The sequence below is a fragment of the Homo sapiens genome, chromosome 5 (genome assembly GCF_000001405.40).
Source record: "Homo sapiens chromosome 5, GRCh38.p14 Primary Assembly".
Classification (NCBI taxonomy): domain Eukaryota; kingdom Metazoa; phylum Chordata; class Mammalia; order Primates; family Hominidae; genus Homo; species Homo sapiens.
In genome coordinates this window covers 57565152-57579073 of record NC_000005.10, presented here as the reverse complement: position 1 = coordinate 57579073, position 13922 = coordinate 57565152, and the positions used below count along the sequence as shown (strand labels likewise).

The 13922-nt window shown below is 39.2% G+C and overlaps 1 long non-coding RNA gene across 1 annotated transcript in view, besides 1 other annotated feature; it reads right to left on the bottom strand.

The window, feature by feature from the left end:
* Nucleotides 1-8732, bottom strand: part of LNCBRM (lncRNA SMARCA2 (BRM) associated) — a 47089-nt gene extending 38357 nt beyond the window's left edge. Inside the window, exons 1-4 of the long non-coding RNA NR_120607.1 lie at nucleotides 8692-8732; nucleotides 4974-5043; nucleotides 1150-1240; nucleotides 160-238 (exon numbers count right to left, since the gene is read on the bottom strand). This is a non-coding gene — a long non-coding RNA (lncRNA SMARCA2 (BRM) associated). The remainder of the gene's footprint in view (nucleotides 1-159; nucleotides 239-1149; nucleotides 1241-4973; nucleotides 5044-8691) is intronic.
* Nucleotides 987-1046: a silencer, noted in NCBI's record as "silent region_16032". NCBI's record gives its function as "represses an Ori minimal core promoter by ATAC-STARR-seq in GM12878 lymphoblastoid cells {active_cell/tissue: GM12878}" and the evidence as "EXISTENCE:reporter gene assay evidence [ECO:0000049][PMID:35858748]".
* Nucleotides 8733-13922: the final 5190 nt, after the last annotated feature.

Sequence of the window (13922 nt, the reverse complement as noted above, 5' to 3'; positions counted from 1 at the left end):
TTCAGATCTCCCTGGTCCTCACTCTCAGAACACTACCAGTGCCAGTGTGGTAACCCTGGGCTAGAGCTAAGCCAGGAGGGTGCAGACCAACAGCACCATGAAGGGATCCCAAACCAGACCCTAAAGAACTCTGAAGGCCAAAGTCCCAGAAGAAGCTACCTTTTGTTGTTGAGTCCAAAAGTCCAGTTCAGGATGAGAATTTTGAGTAAACTTCAAAGGAGTTAGAAGGCAGGATGCTCTGGAATAGAATGGGGGTGTTAAAATTAGGTCAGAAAGGCAGGCAAATGGGCAAAGACATTTGCCGTGAGGTTAGAAAGGCCAAGGCTCATTGAGATTGGACCTTGTCCAGGGGAATGGATGGGTATCTGGTTTTAAAGGCTGGGACAAAATTACAAAGAATTCACCTCTCTGAGGAAGGCAGGGCCAAAATACTACAGGAGTAACAGAAGTGATACAAGGGAAATGACAGCAAGTCCCCAGCTTTCTCTGCAGAAGTAGGTAACACTCTGCAAACTGAGCTGGCTTCCTGACATCTCACCTTTGCCTGGATACAAACCCTGTCCTTTTGAACACAGGTGGGCTGAGTTCATCACAGCCTCCCCAACTCCAGCCTCAGGGCTTCATATCAGGGGCAGATGCATAATCCCAGCCAGGCCAGGGTCCTTTCCCCATGATTTTTCAGACAGTTTTGGGGAAGAGAATAATTTCTGTCTTCTTTGATGCTAGCTGTAAGGACATGATGCACGTTGCCAGCAGTCATGTTATGTAAGGTCATGATGCACGTTGCCAGCAGTTATGCCCTTTTCCATAAGAAACTGGGAGCATGAGGTCAAGCCTCAGAGAGAAACAGGGATGAAAGGGAGACTCCAGGTAGGCTCCAACCCTCAGAGGTCCCAGGAGCTGCCCTGGGTGTAGCCTTTCCTTGGAATCTGCAAACTGTACCAGTAACTCTCCCTGTGGCTTTGTCTGCTTGAAGTTGGTCGCCTGTTACTGTTAACAAAAAGGCTAATTCATTGGATATATACAGCCAGCCAACAAAAAGTGATGTGAAACCTATCTAGGCTCCTGCTTACCTCATACCATATTCACTGAACAAAAGCCCTCCCCTCCTATATACATCACTTCACCCCTGCCACCATCCACCGTCACCTTCCTGGCCTCTTGACCTCGATGTGCAAGTGTTGCCAAGGCCACATCTTTGGTGTTCCCAAGGCCACCGAATGTAGAGGAGAGCAGCCAGCTGAAGGAGACAGGCAGAGGCACAAGCATTTCTTTAGATGTAAATACTTCCTTTAAGGGACTCTAAGGACTGAGAATGACGAAATTTTCTCCTCTTCTTGGTCTTACCAGTTTTTATTGTTGTCGTTCCAAAATACTGTATGGCAGACAATATACATAGGCAAAACATTCATGAGGAGCTTCAAAGAGCAAGGGAGAGAAGGGAATTTCTTGAATAATACTCTTTTTATTTGGTCAACCAATGAATCGCCTATTTTCGCTGGAGCACAGTCATTAACAAAGTTTCCACTTCTGAGTGCTGCTTTCATTCTCTACAGCCTCTCCTACTGAAGTCCAAGGGACAGCCTTCCAAAGGAGCCCCTGGCAACACCCTCATGGGCCTGATCTTATAATATGTTGAGTAAAAAAAGCAAATTGATCCATAAACATTTCCTGGGGACCCAGAAAGATGCAGTGCTAAGCTCTGAGGATTCACAGCAATGCACGAGGTGTAGTCCCAGCTTTCAAGGAGCTAAGAATAATGAAGACAGCAATGACAGCAGCTAACATTTACTGAAATCTTAGCCAGTGCTGAGTTCTGTATGGAGGATCTAATTTGAACAACAAGAAAAAAGAACACAGGAGTTATCTCCATTTTACAACTGAAGAAACAGAGATCATAAGAAAATCTATCTTGCTCAAGGTCCCACAGAAAATGAGTGACTGGGACTCAAACTCAGATCTGAATTTCAAGACACTGCTTTTATCATCTTAGTTTAATAAATAAAAACTCTGTATACAAGGGGCAATCAATAGAGATACAGATGATATAGGTAAGTATAAATGTACATACACACAGAGTATTTACACAAATGTGATGAAATGTTAATACATAAAGAATCTGGGTGAAGGGATGTAAGGGTTCTTTGTACTATACCTGCTACTCTTTTAAGTTTGAAATTATTTCTAAAAGAATTATTTAATAAAAATTAGGCCTACCTTGGGGTACTCTCACTATAGTTCATTAGCTATTTTTTCATCTACGCCAATTGATAGGAGAAAATTGTTGTAATTGACATTTTCTTGTTAATAAACACTATGTTTTTCATAGTTTTCTTTGCCATTTGTATTTTTACTTTTAGTTAATTATGTGTTTGGGGCTTTTTTCACCTTTTGTAAGAGGTGGTATAGTGGATACTGTGGTGTCTCACCCAGATCTTCAGGACTCGAGCATTCTTCTTGCAGCTGCTGAGAATACTAGCTGCTGATGGTTCACAGCTGCATCCCTCACTGGGAATTTCCTCCCCTCGCAGGGAACTGTCCCACTCATGGTTACTTCCCCTCCAGGGGAGCAGCCCATGACTAATGAGTGGCTAAGTAGTAACATAAAGTCCCCCTGGGCTAAACGTTGGGGTGGGAAACTCTGAAATGGCATCCCAGCTCCCAGTACAATTGGGTAAGACCTCAGGTGCAACCACTTTGTGTATCAGCACTTCGCTCTGCCTAGTCCTGTCGTCCTCGCTTCTTCACAGGTGTATCTCCTGAGAGAGCTTCCAATAAACCTCTCCCTCTCAGAGCCTATGTATTAGTCTGTTCTCACACTGCTATAAAGAACTACCTGGGTAATTTATAAAGAAAAGAGGTTCAATTGACTCTCAGTTCCACAGGCTGTACAGGAAGGATGCCTGGGGAAACTTACAATCAGAGTGGAAGGTGAAGGAGAGGCTGACACATTCAACATGGCAGGAAGGAGGAAAACGGAGAGAAGGGGGAGGTGCTACGTACTTTAAAACAACCAGATCTCGTGAGAACACTATCACGGTAACAGCAAAGGGGAAGTCCGCCCCCGTGATTAAATCACCTCGCACCGGGCCCCTCCTCCAACACCAGGAGTTACAATTCAACACGAGAATTTGGTGGGGACACAGAGCCAAATCATATCAGCCTGTTTCCTGGGGAACCCACAGCAATTGGTACATCTTTTACTTATTGATGTGCAGTGCTAAGAGCTGCACTTATTATCATTAAAAAATGAAAGTCTTAAAACAAATTTAAGAAACTTCAAAATGTTCACTGTTAATCTTCTCACTGTTATCACGAGTATCTTTAATATGACTCGTGTCTAACTAACACTCACGCACAATACACAATGTGCTTTTCAAAGGCTTTTATCTGTGGTCCACTTGATCCTCATCATCTTAACCATGAAGGACATGAGCTCTGGAGCCCAGAGCCTGCCTGCATTCAGACTCAAATAATTGCTTACCAAATTACCTAAACTCTCTGGACTTCTATTGTCTCATTTATCAAGAGGGGATGATATTCGTTCCTAATCCATAAATTAAATGATGGGGTGGTGATTAATTGATTAACGATGATTCCTGCTATGTAATAAATACTTAGAACCTCACAACCATCTGATGAGATGGGCTGTGTTAACTGCCCAAGGCCATTGTACGTGCACAAGGTCACACTAACTCTTACCTAGGCTTCAGTTGACAAGTATAACATAAGAGATTATAAAATAGCTATCAGGAGTACAGAGGGTTGTAGCTTTTGTTCATGTCATGATTCACAGTTATACAACAGTATATAATTTCACTGAAATCTCATACTAACCAAGTTTTCTGCATGTTCTCAAATAAACAATTGTGAATATAATAATTGAAGGCATATTCATAATATATTAAATTTTCTATATATAAACTTGAACTAGATATAAATGGGCTTGGAATTATCTTGAATTATGTTTCAAGGCACCTATGACCCTATACTTAAATTCCTTCTATTATATTTTGGCTAATCACAGACCCTGAATATGTGGTAACATATTGATACTTTCAGTACTTCTGTGTTTCTTCTAGAAAAGAGTCAAATGTAGTGAAATAGTTGGCATTTGCTATAATTCTGTGAAGTAGAAAACTAAGAATAAGGTTTCTGCTACCAAATAGAATTACAGAGAGAACAAACTAAGTCTGAACAATGTATTATTTAAAAATTGTATGTTAAATTTTTTTATGACTAGTGCCTCTTCTAGTGTTCCAAAAATAATTTATACAGTCCATGCTCAGGCATTGCTTTATATCTGAAATTTATGGGAGCAGAATGGTAAATAACAATGTATCAATCTCACTAAATTTCAGCATTACAAATTTACTTGTTTGGAGTTTTAAAAGAACGGTGTTTCCCGCATTTGTTTACTGGGAAATATTCATTCATTTGGAATGCCTCATAGCCTGAGAAACTTTCACTCACTGAACCCCCCAAGCTAGATTTGATCTTGAAAATGCCTATTTATTTCATTTCACCAACAAAGTGAAGCATTTCAAATGCTCATTTAAAGTTAGAATTAATTCATTAAAAGTAAGGTAACTAAATACCACTCATCACTGTGCAAAATTACTCAATCTCTTGAGCAAGTTACTTCCCCTCTCTGTGCGCCATTTTTCTGATCTGTAATATGGAGATATTATTATCTACTTCATGGAGTTGTTGTGAGGATCGAATAACTTAATAAATGTAAAGCTGCCAGAACAGTGCCTGGAACATAGGAAACACTATATATGTGTTAGCCATTATAATTGTATTACCATCATCATCATCACTATAATTAAATAAATCTTCAGTCCATGTACTTTAAAAGGTGAAATCATTTCATTTATTTACAATATATTATGATTCAGTCTTTTCTTCTAATTCACATTGGTTTTTCTCCCCCAATTTACAGGTTAGTAAGGTTTGAATATTATACTTACTTTTTGCCCTGTTATAACATGACAGGCACTCACTATGAGACTTTCAAGGCCAAAGTCTCATAATTTTTTTCTGTACAAGAGAAAAGAAAATATATAATTCTATTTTATTCTTAATTAGAAACATTTGTTCTATTCTTAATTGAAGAATTGTAAGACACCAAAGCTGGAGTGATTTGAAAACAGAATTCATCATACATCTTTCCAAATTCCTAGAGGGCAAACTCATGGCAAAATGCTGGTTATAATGAGACCAAACTTTAGGATAATTACCAGAGCTAATCAGGGGTTATTAGTTTGTGAAAAAAAAAAACCTGTTTTCTAAATACAAAATGCATAGTTAAGTCTTTTAACTTAGTCCATGCAAAGGAAACAAATAAACATAAATGATGCAAAAGTCAACCTAGCTTAAAAATCAATATTCTTCCCTTATTTGGCAATAGCGATTTAAACTTACCAATGTGGAAGAGCAAGGACTCAGATCCTCAGCACAAACTTGTAACTGACTGGTAAAAAAACATTCTAGAAAAGATTGGAGTGGAAAAAGAGCTGGACCATGACAATTAGAAGCAATTTATAACTGTACCAACCTGTGCCCTGGCACAAGGTGTAGGTTCAGATAGCCTCTGAAGCAGTGATTTGCTCTGCGAAGGTTGAAGGAGATCAAAGAACACAGTGTTGGTAGCTGAGACATAAAAGTCATCAGCCCTGCTTCTGTCTGCTGGAACATGGAGCGAAAATGGACCAGATCCAGTGTCCATTTCACAAAATGGTGAAGCCCACCAAAGACACCTTCAGCTTTCCTTTTCATATCTTCTCAACCTCAGTGGTGTATTTACTACTTTCCTGTCAGTGGCCCAGCACATTTTTACTTCTAAAACTCCTCTTCCTCACAAAATGAGGATGGACTCATGTCATCGTTTGTACTTCGAAGTTCGTTCACATCTCACTTATTTATATGTGGAATCTAGAAAGCCAAACTCACTGAAGCAGAGAGTAGAATGGTGGCTACCAGGGCTGGGGGAGTCAAGGAGGTTTGGGGAGATGTTGGTCAAACCATATGAAATTTCAGTTACACAGAAGGAATAAGTTCAGAAGATGTATTGCACATCATGGTGACTTAGTTAATAACCATGAATTATATGCTTGAAAATTGCATAGAGAGTAGATTTTAAGTGTTCTCACCACAAATAACTAAGTATATAACGTAATGAATATTTTAATTATCTTGATTTAGCCATTCTACAATGTAGACATATTTCAAAACATGTTTAACTATTAGTTAATTAATTAAAAATAACAGCCAGCCCATAAAAAACTCCAAACAAGCTTCACTCCATACAACAAAGAGGATGTTTGATTGATTCATTCTGTTCTTTCTTCCTAGCTTTTAGATTTCATAAATCTTTTTGCCAAATAGTTCTAAACCTTTGGAGTTCTTTCCAGTGATTTATCTTTCATAGATGACAGCTTCACTCTGCTTCCATATTTTTAAAAAGAAACACAAGATATAGCAGATGTTTCTCCTTAAAGTCATAAAAATTTCTGAGCCTTGTTCTATTCTCTAATCTTATTTTATTAAAGAAATCATAGAAAATTTTTTTAATTTACAGAGTGAATAGCTACTCAAAATAATTTACCATTAATTTTATATGAACTTGAATCCATCTTAGGTTTATCAAGATTGAGTAGTTAGATAACTTATTAGAGGAGTCCTATAGTACATAGTGTAAATATGGTGCTTTCTAAAAAAGATAATATTCCCAGAAAATGCAGGAAGCTATTTAAATAAAATATCTCCATGATTTTAAAGATGAGACAATGATTCTTTCCTATACAATTTCTTTGCGGAGCAAGATGCTGTATTTGTTCCATATCTTTTAAGAGAAAAGCATTGTGTTGGAACAAAAGAACACAGGGAGACTACTGAAATTAATACATCATGGTCTTTTCTCTTAAAGGGCCTGGGATCTGGTAAGTGAGAAAATATTTGCATACCTTTTCAGGAATATCTCTACTATATAAAGCATGTCATTTCTGCATTATAAACAAACCACAAAACTGGTTCTATCATCTACACAATCATAACCAATATCAGTAATATATACTTCTAGTTACAAAGTACTTTTATACTCACTTTTTTTCTTATGACAAACTTATGAAGTGGAAATTATTAATTCTCATTTACACATGAGGAAATTGAAGGTCAGAGAATCCACAGCAGAGGGCCCATATTCCTTCTGTTTTCCAAATACATGCTATTTATCATGCAGCCACTGCTGGAGGATTGGTCCTTCCATACAGAGCCTTCACTGGGGGTATTCTCTAGTCCTGATCAGAAAAGTTGGGCAGCGTCTGCCCACCACCTGTCAGGACCTGGCTTCAGGTCAGCCAGCATATCGGGGACCACCCCACTGTGGGATGCTGCCAACTGCATCGGTCTGGCAACCACGTTTGTTTACCAGCACTTGTTGGCAAGGCCACGGCTTTTGAAGCTGCCTCTCATTGTGTCTTTAACACTTCTGCTCTGACCACCCAGCCTCAGCAAAGCAAGACCCACGTCTGCCCACATCAATTCATTCTGTAACTGCTTAGGGAAGATTTTGCCTCCTCCCTCCTCTGTGTGCTTCCTGACTCAACAGTGACATCAAAGTCCAGGGGACCCTTTGTGAGAGCCTCAGTGCTAGTGATTCCACGACCAAAATACTGGTAAGAGCATGCAAAACAGAGGTTCTTGGGCATTCATCCCTCACAATTCCCGATGCCACCAAATCCCCACCCCCCGCATACACACACATACGCTCCTTTTGCCTCAATTGGAGACATGGTAATACCATCCATTCGTTTATCCATTTTGAGTAGGCAATTTATAGCTCCGAAGCTCACAATAGTTGTTTTCTAAGACATTTAACAAACACTTATATGGCACCTACTGTTTGCCACACACTGTTCTAGGCACTGAACAAAACAATAACTCATTTCATCCTCATAACCACACATGAATTGCATTGTCTCCATTTCACAGGCAGAAAGACTGATACAGAAAGTACTTTGCCCAAGATCACTTGCTAGGGAAGCCAGGTTTTGAACTCAGAAAGGTAATTCCAGTATCCATCTCTCAACCACTACACTCTGCAACCTTTTTCTTTTTTTTCTTTTTTTTTTTTTGAGACGGAGTCTCCCTCTGTCGCCCAGGCTGGAGTGCAGTGGCGCGAACTCGGCTCACTGCAAGCTCCGCCTCCCGGGTTCAGGCCATTCTCCCGTCTCAGCCTCCTGAGTAACTGGGACTACAGGCGCCCGCCACCACACTCGGCCAATTTTTGTATTTTTAGTAGAGATGGGGTTTCACCTTGTTAGCCAAGATGGTCTCGATCTCCTGACCTCGTGATCCGCCCGCCTCAGCCTCCCAAAGTGCTGGGATTACAGGCGTGAGCCACCGCGCCCGGCCCACTCTGCAACCTTTTGGTTGGGGCACATTAACAGGAAATTACAAAAACGGATGGAGGAAAAATGGATAATGGTGTAGGATGAATGAAGAGACATATGCCATCAGGCTGAGAACATAAAAAAGTGATCTTCATAGATTGATAAGGTACCAGGGCAGATTCTCTACTGACAAATCAAACACTACTTGAAAATTTCAAGCTTCCCAATTTTCTCAAAATGCTTTTACCTCCTCCCTTCCCATACACCGAAAGTAACAAATTTGGAAGCATCTCACCAGTCATTTTCCTTCCAGCTCACAAGGAAGTGCTTATGTATAACATTTTCTGCCTCCTAATTGTCAAGATGCAGAGATTTTACAGATTCACAAACAGAGACAATGCTTTTATAATTTATAAATATTTGTTTTTCAAGCTATAGACACTTCCCTTGAGCTCTTAAAAAAGAAAATCTCAGTAGTTTTACATCTCAAATATCTATGAAATGGTTATTTAGGTGAGGTTTGGGGAGGTTGGGTGTGGGGGTTGTGTTTTATTTTTGCTTAATTTGGTATTCAAATCATGTGGTTATGCATTGAAAATTAGCTTGATCCACACTCATCTGTGGGCCTTTTGTGTGACAGCATTCCACACATCTCCCTGTTTTCCTAATTCTAGTTTATTTTATGATGACTTGGAGAAAATGGCAATGTTATCGCTGAGGAATTTATGTTATAATATTGGTCTTTCTCTGGCCTGAAAAAGACTAATTGTTCCCCATTCTGTGTTGCCACAGCTCCCTCCCTCACAAAGCTATTATTGAACTGTATTTAACTATCTGGGTGGGCTTCTGGTAATAATTAGATTGCCATCTCCATTAAATCCCAGGGAGAGCAGACAGTGAGGGTAGCAACAGCAAGACTTGTAGTAACATTTAACCATCAAAAAAGAGGATGACTTGAAGGCCTCTTTTGTGTTCTCCCTCTGTTCTTCTGGCTTTAAAGCTATAAACATCTGATGATAAAGCATCCTTTAAAAATTCTGAATAATTTATTGGATGCTTGCTTACAGAGGATCCTATTATTTTTTGACTCTTCATTTCTACAATTAGGCAGTGGCTTTGGAAACACATTAAAGACTCCATCAAATAATAATTGTAATCCAAATCCCAATAAGAACCAGATTTTGAATATTGAGCCCTGAACCTCAGCTTTTGATAAAAAGAAGAGAAGAAAGAGAGAGGGTGGGGAGCAGCAGTGAGAAAGAGAATAGTATGAAAGTAGCATGGATCACTGGAAAAAGAATGTCTTGCTTTCAGAAATGGATAGTAATTCTACCTCTCTAAGTGCTTTATTGGGATCCAAGAAAAGTGAAAACATCCTTGAGCTCTTGCCTCCTATATCCAAAACTCAGATTAAATGCATCAGTTAGAACTAGGCTGGCTGCATTATTTTAAAAAAAAAAGAGAGAGAGAATAACAACAGTTAGTTAAATACATGGTAGAAACCTGAGGCTGGCAGTTGAGGGCTGAGATGATGAATCCACAGGCAGAGACCCAGGCTTCCACTCTGTGGCCCTGCTCCATTCTTAGTTTGCCAACTCATGGTTTAAGATGGCTCCTTGAGCACCAGCCATCATGTCTACATGCTGAAAAACTGAGAAAAGAAAGGAATAAAGAAATAATGTGCTCTCTCCATTGAAAGACACTTTGGAAGTCACAGCACACCTATGTCCAAATTGCAATTCTTTGTCTAAACTCAGTCATGTAGCCAAATCTTCATTATTTAAGAGAAGGTAGTCTTTTGCCAGGTAGCAAAGTGCCCGGCATAGGAGAAAGCAGAGAATGCATTTGGGAAGGCAATTGGCAATCTCTGCCCTAAAGAAATACAGTATTCCCTTCCAGGATATTTAAATGTGTCAATGAGATACTAATGTACTTTCTCCAAGCGTGGCATTCAGATGGCACTGCATAGTAGTGAACTGTTTTCTCCCTGCAATGTAGCCTTGCCCATCCTGTACCATTGTTGATATTGCCCACCAGCATTAAAAATGTAGAGAGTTTGAAAACTGACCCCCAAATCTGACAATGTCTTTCAGGTTTTTAGTAGGGCTGTCTACATTGTCTGCATTATTTAGAAGTGTGAAATTAGAAGACACTTTCTGGCAAAAAGCTTTCCAAAACATCAAAATGTAATAATAAATACTAGAAGTAACTGGTAATGAAAACTAACAAAAGACAGAATTCACTTCTGAAACTGTTAGAGTGATGATTGGGGAGGGAATGGAGAGTTGGAATCATTCTGACAAGAGAGAGCTGTAAGGACAAAAAGCACTTAGAGGCCATATGGTATATACCAGTACCACCAGCACTATGCTAACCCTTTCATAGACTGTCTCGTTTAGTTATCACAAGACCCCTATGAGATAGATACCCTTTTTTTATTATTTACAAATAAGGAAATTGAGGTTCGGAAAAATTTAGAGGCTTGTTCGAGGTCAGACATGTAGTAAATGGCAGAAATAAAATGAAAAATGACTTAGAAAGGATTCCCCCCCAAAAAAAAATACTAAATACTAAAAAATACTTAAAAAAATACTAAATACTAATACATAGTAAAATGGCCAAGAGGAAAAAGCTCTTGTACAGAGACAGGATGCCTTGTGAGAAGCAGGGACCTACACTGAAGAGGCACAGCCAGGCTGAGGTGACCTAGCTGGAAGGGAGCCAAGAGTCACACCTGGGACTTGCACTCTGTCCTTCTGCCAGTCTCCTGCAGATGCCCCCATTGGCTTAACCCAACCAGAAGTCCAAGGGCAAGGGTGTTCTTGATATAGTTAATATAGTCTACACAGGTCAGCCTCCTAGAGAAGAAAGCAGGGTTGAAAAGGGAGGAATGAATCTAGAGGAGCAAACAAAATACACAGCACAGCAGGTTTATCACCACTGTCCTCTCCTCACTGCATTCCAGGGCATCGATGGGCAAGGGATAAAGCTTTGCTCGTTTTACCATCAAAACTTCCCCCTGCCACACCAATTCCCCACTCACACCTGCAGAGAACAGTCAGGATACAGGATGTGATTTGCTGCCCTCTTACTGCCAGCAGGTGAGAAGTTAGAACTTTGGAAACTGCATTTTAAGGTTTCCAAAACCTGATCTGAACTATGTAAGGGAGAGACTATCCTATTTTAACTTATCTTGGGGGGTGGAAATTACAGAGCTCCTCCACATGATTTCTTCCATGGTTTGAAGACAATCACAATCAAGACCTTTCTCCTGTACAAATCATCTATTCACCAAAGAATCTTCTACTTAAGTCTCTTGATTCTCTTAAGCTAAAGAAAACAGCAAGCCAGCAACATTCTTCAAGAGACTGTCTTCTGTTTTGAAGACATGATTCTACCATGCTCTTTCACCCTCAGTGAGAAGGTCGCTCATCCATCCTCTATGAGTGATTCGTTTCCCCTTTTTCTGCTTTTTGCACGCTAACCATGGCCTTATTTTACCCTCCTGAAATGCCTGCTTTTTCTAGTCTTTCCTAGCCTAACACTTACTTCCCACCTACTCACTGCTTCAAGAAAGCCAGCTAAGACTAATACATTCCCCAAGGGAGTTTTGGTTTACTTAAATTTCCATAGCAACTATGCTCGTCAGCAAAACACTGCGATCCTCAGTATCTATTAGTACTGCCTGAAATTCCCTTGTACTGTTTTGTAGAAAGTTAATACAGAGAGACTGGGCCCTCTCTTTTTCATGAGTATGTTCTCTTTTGTGGTATGAACTATGATTGTTAACCCATCCCCTATTGGTGGACACTTAGATTCCTTCACGTTTTATCATTGTAAACAATCTATACTGAACATAATTATAAACATTTCTCAATGCTCATCCAGGAGTATTCTGTAGGACAGATATTCAGGATATTTGATTAGTCAAAGGGTTTACACATTGTTATTTTAATAAATACTACAAAATTCCTTTTTAAAAGCCATTTGCCTTCCTACCTAGTGTATGAGAGTATGCATTCCTTCACACCCCTTCCCAACCTGCACTGACACAATGGATACTACTAATAATTAAATGTTTTTCCAATGTGATAGGCAAAAAAAATAGACTCTACATATTTCAATTCAGATTTCTATGATTACCAGTAGGATTAAACATCTTTTCATTTATTTTTAGAGCATTTGTTTTTCTCCATTAGCCTTTTCCCATTTTCTTATTAGAATGCCTTTTTCCCATTGACTTGTAGATATTCTCCATAAAATACAGATTAAAGCCTTTATTTGTGGTATATATTACAACTATTTTCTTCTCGTCTTATGCTTGGCATTCAAGAATGGTTTCACTGTGGATATAAATTTTTAATTTGTATGTGGTAAGGTATATAAATCTTATTTATTCTCCTCATGATTATAAAAATATGAAAACTTATAAAAGCATAACATCCCCTCCTGCCTTTCCCTCTCAGCTTTTAGGACTTTGCTTTGACCACACTGCTATGAACTTTCTCACCCATTTGTGTTGAGCATTTGATGTATTCTCTTAATCTTAAAGCTCAGTTCTTCAGCTTTGGAGATTTTTCTTGAAGTATTTAAAAATATCCTCTTCTCTACTTTCTTTATTCATACTTTCTGAAATATCTTGAACTCTTGACTCAGTTCTCTATATTTCTTTTATTTTCTCTTCAATCTATCCTTTGGTCTTCTTGCTATGTACTTGCAAGGAAATTTTTTCAATTTTATCTTCTAAATCTTCTACTGTGTTTGAAATTTGTTTTCATATTTTTAATTTCCAAAAGACTTTATTTTTGTCTTTTAAATGTCTTACGTTTATAGCTTCCTGTCTTTTATTTCATAAATGAAATATCTTCTTTTTCCAAGGACATTAATGAAAATAGTGCGTTCTGTTTGGTTTCTTTTAAGTTTCCATTTTCCTGCATAGTCTCTATTTTTTTCAAGTTGCTTTTTTTAGTTTGTTTATTTGTTTGTTTCCTGGTCTCTGGCTTTCATGTTAGAGGCTTTCCTTAAATGTCTAGTGATTCTTATCATTCATTTACAATTAAGAGTGAGGGGCTCCAAAGCTGGGTGTGTGTTCTGTGCATGGAGCTTCACAGTGAGGGGAACTCTGGTTGTACATCCTGCTGGGGAAGGCTCAGTGTCAATCTGTTTTAGGTCTTCTCTAGGCTGCTCGTGCTATGCTAGGAGGGCTTAATTCTAGCTAGGAATTGTGGCAGCAAATGGGGAAATCTGTGAAGATTGCTGGTCTTCACAGTCAGGCAGTAGACTTGCACTTTACCACTTACTTTAATGTGGTACCCCACCCTCAAATATGCCTGTGTGCCCCAGTCCAGACCCTCTGTTTATATACTTCAGACAATAAATTTTCAGCCACTTTCAGGAGGGGATGAGACAAGCTGCAGCTACATGGATTGGATTAGGATTTAAAAGCCTACTACTTATAAATAGGGTTTCAACCCACCACACAGGGCTAGGCCCTACCTCCACCTCCCACTTCCACGGGCACCTCAT